General features: G+C 37.1%; 1 protein-coding gene across 4 annotated transcripts in view; it reads right to left on the bottom strand.

Annotated features, from left to right (window-relative positions):
- The window catches only part of PREX2 (phosphatidylinositol-3,4,5-trisphosphate dependent Rac exchange factor 2), a 284,987-nt gene that overhangs the window by 218,942 nt on the left and 38,293 nt on the right, over positions 1-27,752 (bottom strand). For all 4 annotated transcript variants that reach the window (NM_024870.4, XM_047422268.1, NM_025170.6 and 1 more), the window contains exon 2: positions 174-245. In NM_024870.4, the coding sequence (NP_079146.2) occupies positions 174-245 (72 nt within the window). The remainder of the gene's footprint in view (positions 1-173; positions 246-27,752) is intronic.

The following is a 27,752-nucleotide window of genomic DNA, read 5'->3' as shown; positions in this document are numbered from 1 at the left end:
CTTTTCCTAAGCCCTATTTCTCCTTTTTAAAATTATTACCAATACAACTGACTGGAACAGCAACTTGTAGTGGAACTGCCGATCAACTGAAGGGCTGTGAAGTACCATGGCACCAGCAAAATTTATCTATAGGAAACTCATGCTCAGGTTGAAGGCCAGTTGTACCTCCTCACCTTCACTGTTTCTTCTGTCACATTTTTGTCAACTTTTGATGCTGCACACTGGTTCATTCTGTGTAAGAATGCCTGCATGAAACAAGAAGACATTATGAAGGTAACATTAGGTTAATAAAATGACTGGGTGTTGAGTAGAATTAAACTAATTTCTTTACAACAAACCAAAGTGTAAAACTCCATTTGTTGAGTATAATAGTTTTGTTGTAACACAGAAACCCTTGTGCATTGCTGTTCCTCTCTGGGAATTATACTTCCATTACCATGTTGGGGTAGAGCCAGAAATCATCAAGTATATGTAAGTTAAATTTATCCACCAGGATCTCAAAGTTGTGAAGTAAGCATTTAGAGTCAGATGTTTCCTAAACTTCTAAGACTTGCAAAGCACAAGACCAAAATTTAATGGAAAATGGCATTTCTAATAAAACAACAAAAGGGCCAGAGATTCTGAAGTGATCCTCTTCGAAATTAGAGATAGATAAATAGATAGAAGATAGGTAGGTAGGTTGAGTGATTGATAAAATAGATGATAGATAGATAGATAGATAGCTATCCCTGCCACTATGTCCCAGGAAGACATTTCAAGAAGGAATGAAAGAATTTCCTTTCCCCTCTATTGCCCACCCCCAGCCTTTTAAGAAGCCAGAATTTAAATTTCTGGGTTCAGGTCCGGGCTCTCCATACCTCTATGGTAGGCAAATAAGCCCTTTAGTAATTCAAAGATTTGGACTCTTCTCAGTGGTCATTAAGTTTTGACCAATGGCTAAACAGGCTATTATTTTCACAAATTAAAAAAGAGTAGAATAATTTCATTATATTGAGCCTTGAAAAAGAAAGTTTAGGGGAGAAAAAGGAGAAGAGAATTTCCATCTAGCAAATTTCATTTATGTCCTCAAGACACCATCCATTATCACCCTCAGGACATGGCTAATAAGAGTATAAAATGGTACAACATTTCAGAGGGCAAATTGACAATATATCTCAAATTTTTAAATGGGTATTTCCAGCCAGTATGGTGGCTCATGTCTATACTCCTAGCGCTTTGGGAGTCCCAGGCAGGATCCCTTAAGGCCAGGAGTTTGAGGTCAGCCTCGGCAACATAGCAAGACCTTGTCTTTACAAAGATTTTTAAAGTTTGCTGGGCGTGGTGGCACACACCTGTACTCCTAGTTACTTAAGAGGCTGAGGTGGGAGGATCACTTGAGCCCAGAAGTTTGAGGCTGCAGGGAGCCATAGTCACACGCACCACTATACTCCAGTCTGGGTGACAGAGTAAGATCCTATCTCAAAAGATAAAAATAAAAATAAATGGGCATTTTCTTGAACCCAGAGATACTACTTCTAGGACTTTATTCTAAGAAAAATATTCAAACAAGGGGATTCATTGTATTGATTACCAAAATGGAAAAATTGGAAACAATCTAAATGACCATCAATAAAAGAATCACTAAGCATATTATGATATATTCAAATTATAGACTACTATAGCAAAAGTGCAACCATAAATGGAATGTAATGAAAACTATATATACACATACATGTGTATACGAGATGTCTATAAAATACTGTCTGGTGAAAAAATTTATTAAGTGGCATATTTGCTACATACATACATATATGCAGATGCATAAGAATATATACAGATATACAAATGGATAATATTGGTGTGTGCTAATGTTGAAAAAAAAGTAGGCGGCATTTACCAAAACGCAATGGGTAGTTCCTTTTAGGTAATAGGAAATTGACCTTTGTACACTTTCTAATTTTTGTAATATTTAGCTATAAGCATGTTATAACTTATATCAAAAGAGGAACAAGACTATTTAAAATAAAACTAATGAGCCACAAGATCTCGCTCCTAGCATGACCTTCAGAACCACATTTATTCCTGATTCAACCAGTTCATGTTTCAGATTCTGTAACTACAATGTCAGATCAGAAGGAATAGCCTCAACTCTTCAACATCAGCTGAAATAAATAAAATGAACATGTATTGGATATCAATCTAATTTGTCTATTGGGAACAAGTGATATAATTTTTGAACTCTTATCTAAAGTTAAGGATAATTGGTGAAAAAAATTAGAATTTTCTAACTTTTTAAGTACTCAATTTATTAGTATTATTCTGTTTAATTTTTTGCTTTAGTTTTGTTTTTCTTGAATATTTTCCACATACTCATCGCAAAAATGTTCTTTAATCTCATTCCATTTGCTCTTAAAATAACATGGTGGTTTATTTGCCTAGTTTACATAGTTTACATTTCATATTGACCACATAGTAAACAGGTAACCTCTCGTGCAAGCAAAGCTTAAACTTCACCTCTACATTTATAAACCTTTTCTTCATAAACTGAACTCAGTCACATTCTGAAATGGATAAATTAAAGTGAGGAAGTAGTAACAATGCATCAAAATATGAGTTAGAATGGAACATACAAACTAAGAAAGTAAACCATGTCTTTATCTGACTTTTTATCTTCTTATCCTCCGTGACAATATGGAACTTTTTGTTTAATTGTATATGAAAGGAAATCTGGAACTTGTTAGCATTTCTGACCAAGCATTTCTTTTTCCCAAGGTCCTCATTTTATACAACAGTGAAGGCAGATTTTAGATGTTTGCTGAGAACGCAAAATCGTGAAAACGATTTGACATTTTTTATGAGAGGTTTAAATCTTCCTTCCTAAAGCTAGGAATAAATAGGTAATTTCAAAATCATCCTTTAACAACCAGCATCTATAGTGTCCTTTCAGACTCTGTTGTCATATTTAATCCTTCTTATATCAATCAAGGAAGCATTAGTAGCCTAGTCACAAAAATACATGAAGGATTCTACACATTGTTTTATCTCTGTATTCATTCCCACTTGTCCAAAATTTCATCAGAATCAGATAATCTTCATCTTGACACACATATATTTGAAATCAAGCAGTGGAAAATAGCTTTTTTATGCTAGTGGGTTTCAAACTTTTTCTTGTGTTTAAGACTTGGAGAGTTACTTCCAAATGCAGATTCCTATCCCCAGAGGTCTGACTCAGCAGATTAATTTAGGACCCAGAAATCTACATTTTGAGCAGGACCTCTATGCGATTCTGATGTAGTTGGTCCAGAGATCATCTTCTGATGAACAATTCTTTATGTTTATTCTTTCAAAGACTAAAACAAAAAGCAGACTTTGAGAAATAAATGAGTCTTAACAGGAAAATCGAGTTTACTTATTTCACTTTGACTTTCAATTCAGTGTTAAACAGTGGTTGTTTCTATACAACACCCTCTCACCCAACCACTTGGGGATGCTGGCACCCCGCAGAGGACGTGCCTCCCACCCATGAAAATCACAATCAAAGCTGCATATAACAGGTCACAATAATCTCTGAAGGGTAGGGAGATGCAGACACTACACAGGTGAGTCAAAGACAGGCTAAGTTGCATTCAGAGGAAGTGAGGCTCTCACATATGCCGCCCCCCCCGCACCCCGAGGATCTTTCAGCTTGCATGTGTGTGAACATGTGCTCCACTCACCAGCATTCCCCTAACAATGGCTCCACAAAAAATATTCCTAGATATCACTCTAGTTATGGGCTTTTTCCCAGAGTACTCTTTATTTTCTCTTTAACTTGCTCCATATTATCTTGTATTTTTGGTAAATGCATATGATAAATATTATCCACTAATTAAAGTTTAATAAAGCTAAAAATGTCACAAATTTGCTATCAAGAATCAAAAGGAAGAAACTCATTAAGATGAAATAAGATGACAGCAATCTCCTTTATCCGTGTCTGCCCATTTATGCTGTTGCTAGTTCAAAAGTAAAGCAAAGCTCACCATGGGCTTCATTCTCAGAATGCATTTTCTTATTTTATAATTTCAACATACAAAATGATCTCTTTCAACATATTTTTGCCCTTCCCACTCTTTTCATCAGTCCAGGCACACATAGTAGATCGTTCTCAAAAGTCCGGCAGATTTTAACAATTTATACTTTTAATTCTAGATACCCGATGCCAATCTGAATTTTGTATCATACAGCACTAAACCTTATTACTCCAACAAATATTCTACATTCAAAATTCTGAAAGTAGACTATTTAGCAGCACCCTGTCACCTTAAAGATTTGGCTATTTAATATGGTTACAGATAGGTAAATTGTATATATAAAGGCAAAATAGGAAAAATTTAAGACAGACTCCACTGTTGCAGGAAAAAAGACTGTGCTAATTTCATGAAAATAAATGAGAAAAAAACAATAAGGGTAAATATTTTCCTTTTACCCTTTAACTTAAAACAATAATATCACATCACAATTCTTTGGAAGATAAGGGCTTCGTTTGGTCCTAATAAATGAAAGAAGTTTGTCATTTGGGTTTGCATGAACACCTGGTTGGTAGTGGCATCACTGGAATGGAGAAGACTGAAAGTGAAGAAGGTTTTGGGGTGGGAGAATCAGAGTTTGTTCTGGACCTGTTGGGTCTCAGATTTCTATTGGGCACCAGTGTGGAAATCATGAGCAGGGAGTTAGCCATTCCAATCTGAGGTTCTAAGGGAGGGATCAGGACTTACAGTAAAAAGTTGATTGTCACTGGCACAAAGATGTAACTTAGGGAAAGCATATATATAGAGAAAAAATGACCAGCCCCAGTCCATTGGAGACAGTGTAGAGATGGGGAAGACAAAAGGCACAAGGACAGAATCATTTTATCTATTTGTTTACTGTCCGTCTCCCACATTTGGATAGGAGCTTCATGAATGCAGAGCCTACCTGCTTTGTTCACTGGGATATCCCCAGCACCTACAGCAATATCTGGCACTTGGTAAGTGCTCAATAAACTTCTGCAAAGACTAACGACTTTTGTTCTTAACTCAATGGTTTTCATTTATGAAGACCACCAGACTGCACTGCATTAATTTCCCTAGTGTATTAGCTTCCCAAATATTCATTAGCAACTTGGAATATAGGATAGCACATACTCTTTTCCTCTTCTATCACCATATGACATGGTTTATCAGTCTTGACATTATTGACATTTGGAGCTGGATTAAACCTTTGTTTAAAATAAACCTTTGTAGTGAAGGACTGTCCGGTGCTCACAGGATGTTTAGTAATCTCTTTCCCACTCGGATACAATGAACAATAATTATAAAATGATGTTACTTTGTTCCTACAGAATATGAGCAGCATCTTTTCATCTTTGAAATAGATCGTGGTTTTTCCTAAACTTCCATGACAACATTCAATCCACACAAAACTCCAGAAACTGACAGAATAATAAATCATTTGTTAGTAGTCCAGTAGTATCTAAGACTCAGCCTCGTGGGCATTGATCACTCTACAAATCATTAAAATATCCCACACCTGAATTACTCAAATAAATGTCTAAAGAGATTGCAGTGATTCCCAAACAGCATGTCTAAATCCTCAGTGAAAGCCTCTTGATTGTTGCTGTTTCCTTGTGATTCAGAAACAAAAGGATTTTTTGTGTCAGTTATTGAGAGTCTTTTAATATCTGCCTAATTTCCCAACAAAAGATGTTTTACTCTTTTTCAGACCAATTATTAATTCAAAATGAACATCACTATCATCTCAGAGCTTAGGTGAAGATAATTTGTCATTATACCATCCAAATCAAAAAATAAAAATAAAAACCTCCCTTGGCTGGAACTTGACCAAGATGTGACGATAATTACCACATTGTTATAGTGTATTCTATTTGACCTCAAAATAACAAAAAATAAATATGAAAGAACTGCGTTCTTCAGGAATTTTCAGGGGAAAGAATTCATCATTTGTCAGCATACGATTGGTATGTTACATACAAGGCACAGAGTTTTGAAGATATTTAATACTTGGGTGACAGGAAAGTCAAGAGTAAAACTGGACAGAAGATGAAGCAGAAATCAGGACCATTATTGACAGAATTACAATTATGCGTAAAATTACTAAAATTAAAGGTGAAAGTTACAAAATTTATTGAGATGACTGCAGTGAAATACTATAATAAATGCCATCTTTTCTTAAGTGTGTTTTTGTGAATTTCTTAAATGTTTAATTTTTTTGTTGCATTTAACTTCTAGTTTGTTTCTGCAGTCTTGATTCCCACAAACTCATCTCACAGCTCAGCCTACAAAATTATTATTTTAACAGGATATTTAGCTTCCATTGGCCTAAGGCAATGAGTTGGTCTAAAGCAGAGGTCAAAAACAGTAGAGGTAGGTTTTAACACAACACTATGTGGTTAAAACATTGACTCAATTGCTAACATTAAAAAAAATAAGAGTATTCATATAAAAGTCAATAATTACAGCCTCTCTTCAAACACTTGGAGAAAATTAACACAGGGCCTATCTACCTGAATAACAGTAAGTTAGAGCTGAAGAAGCCACATGTTCCCTTCATTTTGCCACAGTCACCACTACTCCCTATCATCATGTACACCAAAGCTGAATGTTAATTGCCATGTATTCTAATAGTAATGTTGTTTTTTTTTAAATACAAAGCCCATTTTACTCATTTTTTTTGACTTGGGAATCTTTGTAGCCGTAGCCATTTCCATTTCCAGCCACACTCTTAAGGTTTTGTCAAGGTCCTTTTGACTCACAACTTTTTAATACTGATCATTCCAGAGTTCTAAGTTTTAAAATAGCATTTGTTCTTGAAGTGTTTGAGCGAAAATGTACTCCCATGATCAGAGAAAAAAAAAGCTAAAACAAAAATACTTAAAAATAAACCTAAGAAAATTGGAGCATGTTTTACTTAACTCTTAGTTCCCCAAGGAATCTAAAATTAAGCGAGATATTTACTCTTAGAAGTGATATCTTTTGTTAGAGATAGCTCTGGCAGGCATGTATACAGCTAGTTTTCTCAAGGATTGAAACAACTCCATGTTCTTTATTTAAAATTTGTTTTAATAAAGTAACTTTTTGGCAATAAATTCTTATTGGTGTATTCATTCCAAGTATCATTTGATTCATGAAGATCTTGTGTTCCTTGTATTGTTTCGGGTCATTGATGTCTCTTTCCTGAATGGTCAGGGATACACCAAACCCTAGGGAGAAATCAGTTTCAAAAAGAACGAAGATTAGGAAATGTATGATGTTTATAGTGGGCTGTTTGGAAGCCTTCAAAATTAACCCACCACCTTCCTCCCCTACACACCTAGAAATACGCACTCAAACACATACAGATACAGGATGTCTCCTCAGGGTGGAGTTCAGCTCTGTGGTGAGCATTTATGAGAGGCCAGCTGCTTTTAAGTCTCAGTTTCCTCACCCATTAAATCAGGTTAATAATCATATGTGCCTCACAGAGAGGTGGAGAAGATTACATGCAGGTAATGAAAGCCCTTTGCAAAGTGCTAGCACACAAATAAGGCCCAGTAAATGTTATCTGATATTTCTGCCACTGCGCCTATTATCACTATCCACTATTACTACATCCACAGCCTAGTCCCATTACTTCTACTGTGGTTATGATTATTATTAACACTAGAGAGAACAGAACTAAAGGGTAAGTTAAGGGCCCTTTCTCCTCCTCTCTGCTCCTATATTAACAGTAAATCAATCCAACAGACTCTACTTTCTGGAGAAGTCCTTGATATCAGAACAAGTATTATAATTCAAGGTATCGAGGCAAAAATTCTGTTTATTTTTTAACTATTGGATCTTCCACAATGTAGTGGATCTTTTCTGCTCAGGATCCCAGGCTAGCTCCCAGTTGTTTGGTATACATGTCAATCTCTCTAATCATACATTTATCTTCCACCCATTGCAGAAATTTGGAGATTCACAAAGAGTAGAAGATAGAAAAAGTTTATTGAGGATCAAACTCTAAGGTGCTAATAGGGATTGTTGTCTATGTCCTCAATCCTTGAAACAACTTAGAGCACGAGGTATTAATAAAAATGGAACAATGCAAGTGAAGTTTGGTCAGACCACAGCTTTAATTTCAATGAGATGTCACAAGATCAGGGCATGGACCAGAAGCACACAGGCTGGAAGTAAAATGACAGGCTGATCTGACAAGACCTCTACAGAAAAGCCAGGTTCAGAAAAGAAGACTGTTCCTTTGGAAGCTGCCTTCTTCTAGGTGCTACCAACTCTTTACAGCACCAATGGAACACTTAAACAAAAACAATTCATAAGACTAGTTTATAAAATTTAAATTAAAATGTATTTATGTATCATAAGTCATTATATTTGTAAACAAACTTAATGTCAGATGGAAATAAACTTTTAATGAGGTTCAGAATTACAACAAAGAAAGACATTTCAAATATCCCACCATTTTTCTGGTATCATTTCATATAAAAGTATGTTTCATGGTGTCAGCTGGTGAAAAACACGAAATAAAACGGATTTCTAAATGCAGTTCAGAAGCTTACATGAATATATTTGTCAACTTTTTTCTTAATGTCTCTATTAAATTGCCTTATTTTTAATATTATACAAATACTTATATAGAGATGCCAGTAGACTATTATGTCTCCCACATAATAATACTTCATATTGTGCTGGTCAGGAATTTACGTTGATATCAGATCACTTGAACAACACAGCACAATGAAAGAAAAGGGTAAGTGGGAAGTACAAAGTACATTGTATAGATAATATTCTCAAGCACATATTTTTCTCTGGCACAGGAAACTGGTCATTTCCCGAATTTAAAGTGCAGAACACTATTCCTGTTTTAGTCGTTATTCAAGAATGCAGTTCCGATGAAAAGGAAATGTAAGCAGTGTAGAAGGAAACGTATTTAGTGCTGGAAAACCCAGAGAAATGAATGAAGATCCCAACCTGAAGATCTGTCGCTGCCCGACGGCTACTCCCCTCCTTCATCTCATACTCTGATCTAACTCACTGTGCAATCCATGAGGTATAAAAGAAAGATTTATAAATTGGTTTCATATTTATTTCAATTAACATGAACTTGTTTTATTCTTTAAACACATTTATTTTGCATGTCAGTCCGTTTTCATACTGCTATAAAGACATACCGGAGAAAAGGTAATTTACAAAGAAAAATAGGTTTAATGGATTCACAGTTCCACACAGCTGGGGAGGGCTCACAATCATGGCAGAAGGCGAAGGAGAAGCAAAGACACATCTTACATGGCAGCAGGCAAGACAGCATGTGCAGGGGAATTCCCCTTTATAAAACCATCAGATCTCATGAGATTTATTCACTATCACAAAAACAGTACAGAAAAGACATGCCCCCATGATTCTATCACCTCTCACCAGGTCCCTCCCATAACACATGGGGATTATGTGAGCTACAATTCAAGATGAGGTTTGGGTGGGGACACAGCCAAACCATATTAACTTGTCTCCAACTTTTATACCTCAGAAACGTAGGCACTTACTTTACCTTTTCTTTAAAACTGACTTCTAAAATTGTCCACCATCATCCTTAAAACACACATGACTTAAAATACATGTCAGTATCCTATGGCCCTTTCTGACTCACCATATTCTCTCCTTCTCTCATGACCAAATATTGTCTTTACCCTCTTCATTCAACATATCACCCCTTCCTTAGTCTGCAATTTGTTTCCTTTCCTTTTCCATTTGACTCATACTCTATTCCTAAAGGGAATTCGTATAAAGTAACTAAAACGGTTAGTGCTGGGCTGATACGGACAAGTATTAATATATCAGTGGCACAGAAACAGTCCAGAAAATATCCTGAGTATTTAGAATTTACTATTTGAAACAGGTGGCACTTCAAATCAGTGGGGAAAGAATGCCAGGTTTTGGGACAACAGGCAGTCCAGTTTCTAGTCTTTACCAAAATATGACAGAAGTCAGCAACATGAAGTGGTGAACAGCTTTCTGGAGCCACTCTGCCTGGATTTGAAACCCAACTCTGCCAACTACTAGATGTGTGACCATACAAGTAACTTTACCTCTCTGAGGCAGAGCTTCCATATTTGTAAGATAAGAGTAATATGGTATCTACTCCTATAGACTTGCTATAAGCATTAAACAAATTAATATATGTGAAGTAACTGAGGGCCGGGCGCGGTGGCTCATGCCTGTAATCCCAGCACTTTGGGAGGCCGAGGTGGGCGGATCATGAGGTCAGGAGATCGAGACCATCTTGGCTAACACAGTGAAACCCCGTCTCTACTAAAAATACAAAAAATGAGCCAGGCGTGGTGGCGGGCACCTGTAGTCCCAGCTACTCAGGAGGCTGAGGCAGGAGAATGGTATGAACCTAGGAGGCGGAGCTTGCAGTGAGCCAAGATGGCGCCACTGCACTCCAGCCTGGGCGACAAAGCGAGACTCCGTCTCAAAAATAAAAAAAAAGTAACTGGTACATCGAGTGTCAATGTCTACGTTTGCTGTTATTACTATTTTTTCTATTTCTTATAACCAAATATACTTCTTCAATGCTGTTTTCATTAAATAACAGCAAAACTTCTGAAGGAAGACCTTCAAAAAGGAGAACCATTCTATTTTACATCACCCACATAGCAAGCTATATCAATGACAATAACCAACTAGGAGGAACAAGTATTGCATATGTATAAATATGTAAAACATTTTTGAACTGCTTTTAAGTCATTCATGACTTTTTATTTATAATTTACTTTGTAAAAATCTGTGTAAGTGGTCAAATATCTGAAAGCATTTTCTTACAAATTCAAGAAATATGAGAAAAACTAAATAAGCTCAACTGTGAAAACCTAGGATAACAATTATTATCAATAATCCTTTTATGTTTCAAAAATCAAGAAAAAATAAAATATGAAATATCATAAATACTTCTACATACTTCACGAATCAAATAGCTGCCAACAAAATGCTCCTAATGAGTTCATTTCTATGGATATTGGCTTGCAGCTCCATCGACAGCTGAATATTCATGAGGCAAATTAGCTGCAAATAAACAAGGAAACTTTCCTTCCACAGGACAAAGAAAAGCTATGATAATTAAAAAATATTTTAAGAAGTTTTTTTCTGACCTGGGTTATGAAAATTAACCATCAAAAAAATATAGTGTCTGTCTATATAGCTTTGTCTATGAGTTTTGTTACATAACCACAAAGATGCATATTTGTTCAACTACTGCAAAATCCCAAATATCCCCTAACATCAATAGTTTTCTTGTTTCACGGGATCTGAATAACCTTAGGTCCTCAAGAACCAACATTTTGGGGATGTAAATGAAACTGTCCTAGGCTGGGTGTGATAATTAATCTGGTTTAGGGCAATTATTTGCAGAGCTTAAAGCTTGAACGTGCACATAATATGTAAAAGGTCATGGTAAATTGAAATCTGAACTAGGTCCAATATTGGGGGGTGTAGTCTGGAGGCCCCAAGTGGCTCAGCAAGTAGACTCCAGGCAACAGTGACAGGATTCACTCTAGGGAGATGACATATAGTAGCTGATCACTGGTCTAAAGGTGACCCTGACGGATGCTGCTTGAGGTGGAGTAGGAATAAAAATGGTTGTGAAGAAAGGTTAGCATCTAATAGGATATAACTGACTTCTTCCAAATGCAGTGGGATTTAGGTTTCAGCCCCAGGCCTAATAAAAAATGGAATAAAAATCAAGACTGAGGATAGAATCTAATTGTATAGAGTGGATGTACACTGTTGAGACAGGTTATACTGCATCTCAGCGGGGAAACTGGTGCCTCCCTTCATCCCAGGATACCTAATTTAGGACAGCAAAACTAATTCCAGACCATGCCTGCTGGGGAAGAGGAGGCTCCTCTTACCCTCCAGCTCAGCCAGGGCTGCACCAGGGCAGTTGGGGAGGCTGAACATACAGGAGCTTAGGGGACCAGCAAACTGCTAATGAGCTGCTCTCTGCAGGTCAACTGTAAAATTGTACATTTTGGTCAAAGAATAATGGCAGGAATTGAATTTCAAAACACATATTCAACAATATATCCCAAAATCAACTGAGGGCAAGTGTCCCACTGGGAAACTAATGCATATGTCCTGAAATTATCTGTATATTTTTACCTCTTGTCATTAGACAAAAAGGAATAATATCCTTATTGCATGAGACAGTCACTGTGAACCAACCCACTCTATGACAGGCTCTGTTCTCAGCGCTAGGTGAATAACAATGGAAAGGCCAGTTCCTTGCCCTCAATGAGTGTGCATTCTAGGGAATGGATGTGCCAAAGATGAATAAACCACTAAATAGACAAAGCAAGTTCAGATGGTGGTACATACTACGAAGAAAAATAAAACAAATGAATGGAAAGGCTTCTTAGAAGACACATCACTTCAGGAGAGACTTTAAGGAAGTGAGAGTACGATGCATGGGAATATCTAGGAAGGATCTGTGGACAAATGCACCAACAATTGGAGTGAAAGAGGGGTATGTACGACCCAAAGGAAGGAGAGACTGTGTGTGGCAAAAGGGAGGAAAAGAGCCATTTGAGAAGTGGTTGTTAGGTGAGGGCAGGTCATGGATGGCCTGGGTGATGGCAGTGGAGAGTTCATTTTATTCTTAGTCTGATGGGCAGCCATTGAAAGTTTGTAAGCAGAGTTGGTGTGAAGCTCACTCCAGCTACTTCGTGGAGAACTGGCTATGGAGGGGCCACCTAGGTTTCCACTGAAATAAGACAAGTGAAAGACGATGGTGCTGTGGGTAAGGTGGTGAGGAGCAGTCAGAATCTGCCTACGTTATGAAGTTATTGCTGGCAGGGTTTGTTCATGGATTGACTGTGAATTGTGAGCGGAAGAGAGAAATCAAGGTTGCTGCCTACATTTTGGGCCCGAGCAACTGCATGAATATCAGTGCATTTACCGGTATGGGAGAGACCCTGGGGAGGACAGGGTTGAAGGAAACACAGCAAAGGACCTTATCAAAGCAATACATAAAGCAACAGGACAGGTTCAATCAACACAAAAGCAATTTCAATCAATAAGGAATCCCCTCTTATCCAAAGAATTCTTTTCCATTTCTCAAAATTATTTAAAACACCATTTACGGGAGAGCTGCATGGCTATTTCTTCCATTTCCTGTTACTTCATTAAAATCTCCCCTTCTGTGGGCTGAATTAGGAAAGCCGTCAAAAAATATTAGCAGGAAATAATGTCAATTGATTTTTTATTATGTTCTATTTAATAAATTGAGAATAAATGAGATGTGGCCATGCTTGGTTTCTAATTCTTTTTTATTCCAATGTGACACAAATAAATGAAAACCTCTCAATGTCAAATGCCCATACCTGACGGAATATGGATTCAGACATTAAAAGCATTATATATTTTTAGAGATGACAAATGTTTAAGAAAAATATTAAAAAGTATTTTAAGCAAGAAATTACTTGCATCAATACTAAGCTTATCTAAAGTAAGGAGAATGTTTCGTATCATTTGACATGGTCCTTTTATCAGTGGCAAGAAATACAAACAGTTTTGATTTTTCAAGAGTCTAATTCAATAAGGATGCACACAGGTGTGATGCCCATTGACTAAATAGTAAATGAAAGCACACAAGAAAGAATGAACTTGAAATAACTACCCATTGCCAGAAGGTCAGTGAAATCAAGAAAGGCAGAGAGAGAATAATGAAGGTCACCATTCAAACTTACTTTTTCTATCATAAATAGTCATAGCAAAGATGATAAAGTATTCATTTTTTCACCAGCCATACAAATTAACTCAATTCATGCTTCAGTAATCCTGTGAGGCTGGGAGTAATCTTAGCTTCATTTTGGTAATGGAGAAACTGAGTCTGAAGGAGATTAAGTAGCTTCTCCAAGGTGGAACAGTCAGGAAATGAAGGAGCCTGGATTTAATCCTCACTTGACTCAGCTCCAGCTCTCTCACTGCCAAGCTGCATATATTCTGCCCACACTTCCCCACAGGTGAGTTAAAAGAGTCAGGCCAAACATGGTGAAGCCCTGTCTCTATTAAAAATACAAAAATTAGCCAGGTGTAGTGGCACGTGCCACACGCCTGTAGTCCCAGCTACTTGGGAGGCTGAGGCAGGAGAATCGCTGGAACGGGGGAGGCAGACGTTGCAGTGAGCCGAGATTGCGCCACTGCACTCCAGCCTGGCGAGAGGGTGAGACTCTGTCTCAAAAAAAAAAAAAAAAAAAAAAAAAGGTCAGGCCAGAAGACCTCCTGTGGAGGCTGATATAGGAACCAAATTAGTCAGTTTCTAAATCTGATATCCAAAGTTTCCATTCTTGCCTTGGAAAAGGATTATTTCATATCTTTTAGCAAAGAAATTCTCTTCTCTTTAACGTTAACTCGGCTAATGGTACTGACTTTTTCCCAACTGAATAAAAATCACAGAATTTGAGTAATCTTATATCTCTGTAACAGAATATTGCTCCTTGAAGAAAACTCTCCAGAACTCGTTTCCTCTCATCCTAATTACAGCAAGTAACTTAAGATGACCACATTACAGAACAGGATACAATTGAGCACCCACTTTCAGTTAACAAGTTCCAGGTGTTACCAGGGCCCAGCTAAAGTCTTCCTGGTCTATAGTACTCACTAGCTCCACCCAAGAAAGGTGGCCCCAGACCCTTAACCTCCAATAATCTTTTGCCGTCTGAGATATTTAGATACTGAAAGAGTCACATTGTTTTAATCAGAAAATACTATACTAAGAAACTATTATACAAGCCAGGCTCAGCAGCATTCACCTATAATCCCAGCCACTCAGGAGGCTGAGGTGGGAGGATCACTTGAGCCCAGGAGTTTGAGTCCAGCCTGGGCAACAAAGAGATACATCACCACCTTAAAAAAAACAAAGAAACTATTACATGGAGAAATACAGGGACTTATAAAAGTTTAGGATTTAGTTAGAATAAATCCCAAACCCTGAAACAGTCTTCAGAAATCTTTTAAAAATAATGTACAAATCAATAAAAAGTAGCATAAAAATCTCCCTTGAAACTGTCCAATGAAGTTAATGATAAAAATTAACTGTAATTATTATAGTAAGCACCAATCCTCCAGAGAGCTTTCTGTCCCCTGTACAATATTGAAATATGAGTTCCTCAAACAGCACAACTTCCCTACTACCACAGCTCCAAAGTTCATGATTCAAACAGCCATATAACTTGATTTAACCAGTCTGCAAACTACAATATCTATACTTTTCTGAAGCTCCTGGGTCAACAAACTCTGTTTTCCACCATGTAGTAGGCATTATAATTTTAAATGCATTAATGATGTTTCCCAAACCTCTTAAATTTAGGAAGAACCACTCACATTTTGCAGCTTGAACCACTCACATTTTTAAGGAAATGCTGCTCTGAAAAAAAAAATGATTAAGAAGCAAATAAAATTAATTTGGATGATGTAAGCATCAACCTAAGAATATCATCTGAATTTCTTAAGTTCCCATATTACAAAAAATTACCAATAAGTTCACATACTACAAGGGGTACACTGAACGCTTCTATTAGGACAAAGAACTACAGGGACAATCATATTAAGAAAATTAGTATCTTCCAGCCAGGCACAGTGGCTCACGCCTTTGGGAGAGCACTTTGTGAGATGGAGGTGGGAGTAATCCCAGCACTTTGGGAGACCGAGGCAGGAGTATCAGTTGAGGTCAGGAGTTAAAGACCAGCCTGGCCAACATGGCAAAACACTATCTCTACTAAAATACAAAAATTAGCCGGGTGTGATGGCACACACCTATAATCCCAGCTACTCAGGAGGCTGAGGCATGAGAATCACTTGAACCTAGGAGGTGCAAGTTGCAGAGAACCAAGATCATGCCACTGCATTCCAGCCTAGATGGCACAGCGAGACTCCACCTCAAAAAAAAAAGAAAGAAAGAAAGAAAAAGAAAAAAAGGCAAAATTAATATCTTCTCCATGCACTTTCTTTTTTTTTTAAGTTTATTTTACATTCAAGGGTACATATGCAGGTTTGTTACATAGGGAAACTTGTGTCACAGGATTTGTTTTACAGATTATTTCATCACCCAGGTGCTAAGCCTAGTATTTTTTCTGCCCCTCTTCCTCCTCCCACCCTCCGCCCTCAAGTAGACTCCAGTGTCTGTTCTTCCCCTCTTCGTGTCCAAGTGTTCTCATCATTTAGCTCCCACTTGTAAGTGAGAACATGCGGTATTTGGTTTTCTGTTCCTGCATTAGTTTGCTAAGGACAATGGCCTTCAGCTCTATCTATGTTCCTGAAAAGGACATAATCTCATTCTTTATGGCTGTATAGTATTCTGTGGTATGTGTGTACTACATTTTCTTTATCCAGTCTACACTTGATGGGCATTTAGGTTGATTCCATGTCTTTGCTATTGTGAATAGTGATGCAGTGAACATACATGTGCACGTATCTTTATGGTAGAATGCTTTATATTCCTTTGGATACATACCCAGTAATGAGATTGCTGGGTTGAACAATGGCTGTGTTTTTAGCTCTTTGAGGAACTGCCACACTGCTTTTCATAAGGGTTGAACTAATTCACACTCCCACCAACAGTGTGTAAATATTCCCTTTTCTCTGCAACCACAACAGCATCTGTTATTTTTTGACATTTTAATAAGAGCTATTCTGACTGGAGTAAGATGGTAACTCCATTGTGGTTTTGATTTGCATTTCTGTAATGATTGGTGATGTTGAGCTTTTTTTCACATGCTGGTTGACTGCATGCATGTCTTTCTTCTTTTGAAAAGTGTATTTTCATGTCCTTTGCCCAGTTTTTAATGGGTTTGTTCATTTTTATTGTAAATTTAAGTTCCTTATAGATGCTGGATATTAGACCTTTGCCAGATGCAGAGTTTACAAATATTTTCTCCTATTGGGTACGTTGTCTGTTTGCTGATAATTTCTTTGGCTGTGAAGAAGCTCTTAAGTTTAATTACATCCTATTTGTCAATTTTTGCTTTTGTTATGATTGCTTTGGCATCTTTATCATGAAATATTTGTGAGTTCCTATGTCCAGAATGGTATTGCCTAGGTTGTCTTCCAAGGTTTCTACAGTTTTGGATTTTACATTTAAGCCTTTTATCTATCTTGAGTTAATTTTTGTATATGGTGTAAGGAAGGGATCTAGTTTCAATCTTCTGCAGATGGCTAGCCAGTTATCCTAGCACCATTTATTGAATAGGGAGTTTTTTCTCCCATTGCTTGTTTTTGTCATCTTTGTCAATGATCACATGGTTATACGTATGTGGCCTTATTTCTGGGCTCTTTATTCTGTTCCATTGGTCTATGTGTCTGCTTTTGTACCAGTACCATACTGTTTTGATTACTGTAGCCCTGTAACATAGTTTGAGGTTGGGAACTGTGATGCGTCCAGCTTTGTTCTTTTTGCTTAGTATTGCCTTGGCTATTCAAGCTTGTTTTTTGGTTCCACGTAAATTTTAAAATCATTTTTTCTAGTTCTGTGAACAATATCATTGGTAGTTTAAAAGGAATAACATTGAATTTGTAAATTGTTTTGGGCAGTATGGACGTTTAAATGATATGGATTCTTCCTATCCATGAGCATGGAATGTTTTTCCATTTGTTTGTGTCATCTCTGATTTTTTTGAGCAGTGGTTTGTAATTCCCATTGTAGAGATCTTTCAACTCCCTGGGTAGGTGTATACCTACGTTTGTTTGTTTTGTGGCAACTGCAAGTGGAATTGCATTCCTGATTTGGCTCTCTCTCGCCTAACTGTTGTTGATATATGGGCATGTTAACAATTTTTGCACATTAATTTTGTATTCAGAGACTTTGCTAAAATTGTTTATCCGCTTAAGGAGCTTCAGGGCTAAGACGATACGCTTTTATAGATATAGGATCATGTCATCTGCAAATAGGGATAGTTTGACTTCCTCTCTTGCTATTTCTCTTGCCTAATTGCCCTGACCAGGACTTCCAATACTGTGTTGAGTAGGAGTGGTGAGAGAGGGCATCCTTGTCTTGTGCCAGTTTTCAAGGCAAATGCTTCCAGCTTTTGCCCATTCAGTATAATGTTGGCTGTGGGTTTGTCACAGGTGGTTTTATTATTTTGAGGCATGTTCCTTCAATACTTAGTTTATTGAGAGTTTTTTAACATGAAGCAGTCTTGAATTTTATCAAAAGCCTTTTCTGAATCTATTGAGATAATCATGTGGTTTTGGTCTTTAGTTCTGTTTTATGTGATGAATCACATTTATTGATGTGCATATGTTGAACCAACCTTGCATCCTAGGGATAAAGCCTACTTAATCATAGTGGATAAGCTTTTTGATGTACTGCTGGATTCAGTTTGTAAGTATTTTGTTGAGGATTTTTGCATCAATGTTCATCAAGAATATGCGCCTGAAGTTTTCTTTTTTTGTTGTCTCTCTGCCAGGTTTTGTTAGGATGATGCTGGCCTCATAGAATGAGTTGTGTAAATGTCTCTCCTCCTCGATTTTTTTGGAATAGTTTCAGTAGAATGCTACCAGCTCTTCTTTGTATGTCTAGTAGAATTTGGCTATGAATCTGTCTGGTTCTGGGCTTTTTTTTTTTTTTTTTGGTTTGTTGGCTATTTATTACTGATTCAATTTTGGAGCTCATTATTGGTCTGTTTAGGGAATCGATTTCTTCATGGTTCAGTCTTGGGAGAATAGGTGTGTCCAAGAATTTATCCATCTCTTCTAGTTTTTCTAGTTCACATTCACAGTAGTCTTTGATGGTTGTTTGTATTTCTCTAGGTCAGAGGTAACATCCTGTTGTTTCTAATTCTGTTTCTTTGAATCTTCTCTCTTTCCTTCTTTATTAGTGTACCCAGCAGCCTATCTATCCTACTAATTTTTTCAAAAACCCAACTACTGGGTTTGTTGATCTTTTGAATGGTTTTTGTATCTCAATCTCCTTCAGTTTAGCTCTGATTTTTCCTCCATGCATCTTAAGTGAATATTTTTAAAAGCTTTACCCAGAATTTATGTATTTCAATTGAGATGTAGAAAGTTGCAAGAGACCATTGCTCCCACTCTAACAAGCAGAACAAGCTACATAAGTTACAAAATCGCTCTCTTTCAGAAAGCTAATGATGCAAAGAAACCTAAAGGAAATAAATTCCAGAAAGTGTCAAGCCCTTCATAAGTGAAAAAGGACCTATGGCTCTTCTCAAACCTGCAGCAGTAGCTGCAGTAGGAGTGTGAATTCACCATAGATCAGAGCACAGAGAAATCAGCTAAAGTTTTCGGGAATTTTAAATTTTTGTTTGTTTGTTTTTGTTTTAGAGTCAGGGTCTCAATCTGTCACCCAGGCTGGAGAACAATGGCATGGTCATAGCTCACTGCAGCCTCAAACTCCTGGGCTCAAGCAACCCTCCCACCTCGTCACCACCTGAGTACTTAGTACTATAGGTATGCACCACCGTGCCTAGCTAATTTTTTGTTTTTTTTCTAGAGACACTGTCTCACTATGTTGCTCAGGCTGGTCTTGAACTCACCTCAAGCGATCTTCCTGCCTTGGCCTCCCAAAGTATTGGGATTACAGGCATGAGTCAACATACCTGGATTCAGGAACTTATAGAGGCTGCATATGAAATTAGAATTCCAAAGAGTCCTAGATATAAGCCAAGCTTACATGTACCAGCCAGTAAGCCTTCACCAAGTGCTAAAGCACGCTGAAGGTTGGGGACAGGGCAGGAGAAATAAGAAAGGTCCCCCATGGGGCACACAGAACTTTCCCCACTATAAGGCAGGACTCACTAAAAACTGGAGGCCAGGCAGAGGAGCTTAGAGGCATCCTTCTGAGACCTTCCAGCATTCAGGGTGGCAGGATAGAAAGAGAACTTCTGAAGTGTAGAAAGCCAGGATGGGACTAAGGCACTAAGAAAACTCCTCAGCAATGCAAAAATTTAACAACACAGCTGCAGAGCCAATGAGATCTCTCACAGTTTGACAACTAGGCTATAAAATATAAAAAAGATTTCCTGATCCTCAGCAGTACTCCAATCCCAAGCCCAGCAGAAGGGTAAGTCCTGCTCCCTCATTCAAACATTTGAAGCTAGTGGTGAACAAATGAATAGAAGGTAAAACTTTTTAAAAATACCACGATAAAAATCTTAAAATAATAATATTATCATTTATAATAGCATCTAAATGGAGAGCTACCACGTTCATGGATTGAAGAGCTCAATATTTTTAAGATATCAGAAAGAAATGATAGAAAAATATATCATGATCTTGGGAGAAGTAAATGTTTTTTATGACAATATATATTTTAAGATATTGAGAACTGATATCAATTAAGATATCTTAAAATACTGAGAACTGATATCTTAAAAATATTGAGTTTTCCAAAATTGATCTATAGATTCACCACAAGCCCAATCAAATATCAGTATTACATTCTTTTGAAAAATCTAACAAGCTGGTTCTAAATTTTATAGAGAAAAACAAAAGATTTAGAATGGGCAAAACAATCTTGGGGGAAAAAAAGGAAAGTTAGACAACTTATATTCCCTGATTTCAAGACCTGTTATAAAGGTACAGTAATCAAAACAAATAGAATGAGCATAAAATGGACAAATACAGTAGTCCCCCTTTATCCCTAGTATAACTGTTCTATTTTCTTAGTTATTGTTATTAGTCTCCTACTGTACCTAATTTATAAACTAAACAATCACAGTATGTATGCACAGGGACAGGGGGAAACAGCATATAGGGTTCAGTACTATCTGCAGTTTCAGAAATCTGCTGGGGGTCTTGGGACGTTTCCTCCATGGTTAAGGGGGGACTATTGTAGAGCTAAAAAAAAAGAAGAGAGAAACAGACTCAAACATGAGGGTTAACTGAATTATTACTATTAGGTTGGTGCAAAAGTAATTGCAGTTTTTCCCATCAAAAGTAATGGCAAAAACCACAATTAGGAGCTCATTAGGAGCTATAAACACAATGGGCATAGCAATACTTCCCATAAATACCACCCATTAAGATGTATTTTCAGTTAAAAATGATGAAGTAAATATTTACATATCTGATGAAACAACTCAATAGTTTTTCACTCACGTTGACTGCAGTTTTTGCCATCAAAAGTAATGGCAAAAATCATAATTACTTTTGCACCAAACTAATAAGATGCCAGTTGAATTCAACAGAGAAGGAAATATCATTTTAACTATGTTGCCAGAACCATCCATCCCTATGGAGAAAATAAAACAAACCTCAACTCCTATTTCACTCCTTACAGAAAAATTAATCCTAGTTTTATCAATAGACATATATGTATAAGGTAGAAATAGAGAACTTCTAGAAAGAAATGATAGAAAATTATATCATGATCTTGGGAGAGGCAAATATTTTTTAAGATAAAATGATATATTAACCATAAAAGTAAAAAATGTAAAATAGATTTTATCGAAATTGAAGACTTTTGTCCCCATCAAAAATACAATTAAGGAAATTAATAGGTGAGCCAAAGACAGGGAAGCAATATCTACAATACATACACCTGACAAAAGGCCCTTATGTAGAATATATGAAGAACACCTATAAAACAATACTAAAAGGCCAGGTGTGGTGGCTCATGCCTATAATAGCAGCACTTTGAGGGGCCAAGGCAGGAGGATCACTTGAGGCCAGGAATTTGAGACCAACTTGGGCAACATAGTGAGACTCCATTTATTTAAAAAAAAAAAATTAGCCAGGCATGGTGGTGCATGACTGTGGTCCCAGCTACTCAGCAGGCAAAGGAAGGAAGATCATTTGAACCTGGGAGGTTGAGGCTGCAGTGAGCTGTGATCACACCACTGCACTCCAGTATGGCTGACAGAGCAAGACCCTGTCTCCAAAAAAATAAATAAAAAATTAATACTGAAAAAAGAAAAACTACCCAATATTTTCAAATGGGTAAAAACTTGGACATAACAGAGATAAAGAAATGTCCATTAGTACATAAAAGGGTACTTAGATCTTTAGTTATCAGGAAAATACAAATTAAAATTAGAATAAAATACTATTAACTAAATATCATGAACTAAAATTATAAATTCATAATTTATAATGACAATACCAAGTATTGGTGAGGCTATGAAACAGCTGGAACCCTTATGCATTGCTGAAGAGAATGTAAAATTGCAAGCACAGCTACTTTGAAAAATAGTTTCTCATAAAGTTAAACATACATTTGCCATATGACCCAACTATCCCAAACCTTGGAATTTGACCAAGAAAAATGGAAACATATGTCAACCCAAAGACTCATGTTGGAACATTCATGGCCACTTCATTCATAATAGATACAAATTGGAAACAACCTAAATGACTATCAAGTAGTGAATGGATAAACAAATTACGTTCTCATTAGGAGCTATAAACACAACGAGCATATCAATGCTTCCCATAAATACCATCCATTAAGATGTATTTTCAGTTAAAAATGATGAAGTAAATATTTACATAGCTGATGAAACAACTCAATAGTTTTTCACTCACGTTGACAATATGAAAGTTTTCAACGTAAATATAGTTTTTTCAAAATAAATAAGTTCAACATGGTGTGGTATCTTGATTAATGAAGTACACTAAAAGGATGAACTAATTCTGTCTCTCTGTTGGGCAAAGAAAACTATTTTCAAATTACAGCATTACATAATCAAGTACATATATCTGGCTTTATTTAGGACTACAAATGATAATTTAAAAGTAAGTTAAAGTGCCCATCACTTATCTTCAAAACAGGGATTGATATCATATGTTGTTTGTGATAACATACTAGTGAAAATAAAAAATTAAAACCAGTAATAAAAAGATATAAGAAAATGCTATTATCACAAAAAATGTAATCATGAAAACTCAAGTGATTCTATTATGTGGCTTTACAATAACTCTAAAACGTATACTTTCATTATTAATAGAACAGTTATTATTTACCAGTATGTATGAAGGGCAGTGAATATAAAGGTACACCATGTAGTCTTAAAAAAGAAAAGGAAAGTAGAGAACAATACTGTGGAAGAGAGAAAAAGAAAATAGGAAAGAAAAGAATAAAAGGAAATAGAACTTCTCTCCTAAAAATGCTTAAAATTTGGTTTTAGAATAGAAATATAAACGTCCTGAATTATACTAAAACCATGTAGAACTCCTTAGCATAAAATGTCTTATAGGATCTAACCCCTGCCTCCTCTCCAAGTATATTTCTTGGATTTCATATTTCCCCTGGATTTTACACTTCCTGGCATACAGCACTAGGTCAATAAATATGTGTTAACTCATTGCCTGGACCTCATGGTGAAGTCATTCTGAAAATTTAGTCAGGAAAGCTGGTTGTTGATAAAATTCTTGAAGACCAGGTCAAATATGTTTCTCTGATTCTCCCATGGAATCTAGCAAAGGACTAGATTCATTACATATTATATAGATGCTTAACAAGGCCTGTTTAATTCTTAGGATATAACTTTCTTTTCTCCACTGTTCTTTTATGAATTCATTTTTTTCCAACAATTGTTTATTATTATGGGAGAATAAATCAGCAGCTATATCATTGTCTTCAAGTACAAGGAATCTATTTAAGATTTAACAAAACAGTTGACATCAAAAGGCTGCAATCATTGAAAGAACCCCCGTCTTCTCTTCTCTATCCCCAAAGTTAGAATACACAGTAACAATACAATATTAAGGTGATTCCAACTGAGGTTTTGTTATACTGTCCATGCCAGTGTGAAATGCCTGTCAAACGCAAACAAGGTGACTCTTGGGCTGGACTAATATAAGCTGTCTCTTCTTAAGCGTTAGCTGTGATCTCAGCCAGCCCACCAGCTGATGACCAGTGGGACACGTTTCTGAGAATTAAGTTTAGCCTATGACCTTGGACTGGAACAAAACATAGCCTGGCTTCCATTAGACGTGTGCTTTAACCAATGGAATCTCCTAGGACCAGATAACAGTAGACAGGTAACAATCATTTTAAAGTTACATATAATTATTATGCATCATTCCTGCAGAATTTACTTTTTAAAATATTATCTCTCAGCTATTTATCTTCCTATAGTTGCTCCAATTATTGACTCCAATCACTTCTCTCTTCAATTATCAGTGTTATTAATGATGAGAACTTCATCTGCCTGTTTACAAACATTCAACCTATCCTTCGAATCCTAGATCAAAGCCCACTTTCTCTATGAAGATTTCTTCCAATCCTTTGGCTCATATATTTTTTTCCTAATTAGATTGCCGATAGAACGTATTGGATAGAATGCTTGACATTTAATATGTATATGTGGTGGGTATTCCCATGGTGATTGGCCCTGGATAAAATACTCAATAAATAGTTAATGGACTGAAGTAATATTGTAAGGCTAGGGGCTGTGGCTCATGCCTGTAACCCCAGCACTTTGGGAGGCCGAGGCAGGTAGATCACCTGAGGTTAGGAGTTCGATACCAGCCTGGCCAACATGGTGAAACCCCATCTCTACCAAAAATACAAAAATTAGCTGGGCAGTAGCAGCAGGCACCTGTAATCCCTGCTACTTAGGAGGCTGAGGCAGGAGAATTGCTTGAGCCTGGGAGGCGGAGGTTGTGGTGAGCTGACACCACACCACTGTACTCCAGTCTGGGCGACAGAGTGAGACCCTGTCTCAAAAAAAAAAAAGAAAAAAAAAAAGACTGAAGTAATACTGTAAAATTTTTAAAAGTAGTTGCAAGACATAGTATTCTCTCAAAGAAACTAGAATTATAACTACAAATTTGACATTTCTTCTTCAGTCATCTTATGATTTCCAAATGGATGCTATTATCTGGAAAAGAGACACAGTTTAATAAAACATCCTGTGAGTATAGTCAGATGATACAATTGAAGCAAGGTTTTAACTTGAGAAAACTATTTATATTTAAAAGAAACAGACACAAATTCTTAGAAAATAGAATACCACCTATAAATACATCTAAATCTACAGCCGTTTAAAATAACCATTTCTTCCTCATTTAAAAAATAAGAACATTTTGAAATCTGCTTACAAACGTAAGCCAAGGATAGTTTCAAGTGGTTCAAGTTATAAAATAAGCAGTTTGTAATCTTCAAATATCTAGTTTTAAGTAAAAACTGCAATTTCTAATAATCTTAGAATTTCCCATTGAATTATGTTCAGCTGAAGTTTTTCCTTAAAAATTACTAACTACATTTTCCCTGTTTTTGTTGGGTACTAGTTATGACCCCCTACGCCCTCTGAAAGAACAAAGCTTGGTTCCTCTAACAAGAAGACAGTTCCCATTATGTTCAGATGAATAACTCAAACTAAAGGAATCTGCACCGTTGCTACAGAGGCTATAGAAATTAAGCTTTTGGCTGCTTCTAAGTCACAGTGCCAATATTCAGATCCTACAGTCATAGTGCCATTGACAATGATGTTTCTCGCAACACACTGCACTGTTTTAAGAATGCCTAAACCACTGTATGCTGTACTAGAACATCAAAGGAGAAATCTGTGTCTTAAAAATCACTTATAATTCCTTAGTCTCACTTTTTTTAAAAGGTTCAATATCTGATCAAGTCAGATTTTAAGTAATATCCCATAGAATTATAAAATGCTCTATTTCTCTAAGTTCTTAAATGGTTCTCAGCCTAAATGCTTGTTGAATGAGTAAATACTAAAGAAATGTTAATTACACTTCTCAACTGAGACTAATTAATACATACAAATTAGACATTTATCCATGAAAATAGAGAAAAACCAGAATGTTAAGTTGATTAGGGGGTTGTGTCTTAACAAATGGTCAATCTATGACATCATACTACCCATATCCTTGCAGAACCACAGAGATAGCAAGAAAAGTGAGCAGACATCCTTGATTGAACCTTAAGACCAATATGGCATTCCAGCACTCGTATCTTAGCTTTGGCTTCACAGAAGAGCGGTATATACTAGACAAAGAGCAAGTGTAGGCCAACACAGGACTGTCCAAGGGAAAGACCAGAGTCCTTCACTGAGGGAATCTACACGCTCCCTCTTCAGTACTTAATGCATTGCTTGGGCTATCTTTTCAGTACCTCTGTCCTGACTAGAGCTCACGTGAACAAGGATGAAAAACAGTGAAGATAGTATAATTTGTAATGAAGGTTAAATGACTTCTATGATTTAAAAATCGAGAAGGATTCCTGTTTAAAAATATAGCTTTATTAGGTTATTTTTTGAAACATCAAATATCCTGACTGTACTGGGCCCACATTCCTGGCTGGCACCAATTGGCTAAAGTTGAGTGTCAGTGGTCATCTGTGTTCCTCAGTCATCGCCACTCCCTAATGTTTACCCCTGAACAGCTCTGCTCATTGATATGGTTAGACTTTGTGTCACCAGCCAAATCTCGTCTTGAATTGTAATCCCCATAATCCTCATGCTCCCCACGTGTCAAGGGAGAGACCAGGTGGAGGTAATTGAATCATGGGGGTGGTTTCCCCCATGCTATTCTCATGATAGTTAGCGAATTCTGATGAGATCTGATGATTTTATACGCGGCTCTTCCCACTTCGCTGGGCACTTCTCCTTCCTCCCACCTTGTAAAGAAGGTGTTTGCTTCCCCTTTACCTTCCGCCATGATTGTAAGTTTCCTGAGGCCTCCCTAGCTATGCTGAACTGTGAGTCAATTAAACCTCTTTCCTTTATAAATTACCTAGTCTTGGGTATTTCCTTATAGCAATGTGCGTATGGACTAATGTACTCATTTTTGCTCTCTACCTTGCCCCATGAGTGTTTTATTTGAACCTCCAGGTATGAAGATGAAGCATATGAACTCTGGAGTCTGAGTGCTTGGGTTTAAATTCTACCACTTACTTAAGAGTTGTATGAGCTTGGGTGTATTCTTTCCTTCTTCTTACTGCTCTTTTGTTTTCTCCTAATAAAAGTATAATAACTAGTTTATGGGGTTTCAGGGAGAATTAAACATGATTCTAAAATCAAGCATATAGCCCAGTGCCTCCATAAATATTACTATGATTAATGAAAACTCACCGACACATACAAATCGGGTTAGCTGAGAATCCCTCCATGGCATTGTGTGTATTGAGCTGTGACCTCTGGGAAGCTCTCAAATCAAGTGGATGGCCCAAGGGCCCAGTAGCATGATCTAGGTAGGCTGCTGGGGATCTTGGGTGAGGTGAGCTTAGTGCTGAAACTGACACTGTATCACTAATGTCTAACATTCTCCTTTAAGGCTAATTATGGGTCTTATCCCTGGCGGCACATCAAAACCACCTGGGAGGCCGGGCACGGTGGCTCACGCCTGTAATCAGCACTTCAGGAGACTGAGGTGGGCAGATCACCTGAGGTCAAGAGTTTGAGACCAGCCTGGCTAATTTGGTGAAACCCTATCTCTACTAAAAATACTATAAAATACCACCTGGCATGGTGGCGGGCACCTGTAATCTCAGTTACTCGGGAGGCTGAGGCAGGAGAATTGCTTGAACCCGGGAGGCGGAGGTTGCAGTGAGCTGAGATCATGCCACTGCATTCCAGCCTGAGTGACACAGCAAGAATCAGACTCAAAAAAAATTAAAAATTAAAAAAAAAAAAACCACCTGGGAGCACGTTTTTAAAAGGCAAAATGATTCCCAGGCCCTATCCAAGACCATGTAAATCAGAATCCATTGGAGTTGACCTAAGTTCTTTTTTTTTTTAATCTCCCATGGTGATTCTAATACACAGACAGGCTTGAGAGCCACTGACCTATGGC

Source organism: Homo sapiens, chromosome 8 (genome assembly GCF_000001405.40).
Source record: "Homo sapiens chromosome 8, GRCh38.p14 Primary Assembly".
Lineage (NCBI taxonomy): Eukaryota > Metazoa > Chordata > Mammalia > Primates > Hominidae > Homo > Homo sapiens.
The sequence above is the reverse complement of the archived record's forward strand: the minus strand, read 5'-3'. Positions and strand labels throughout refer to the sequence as shown.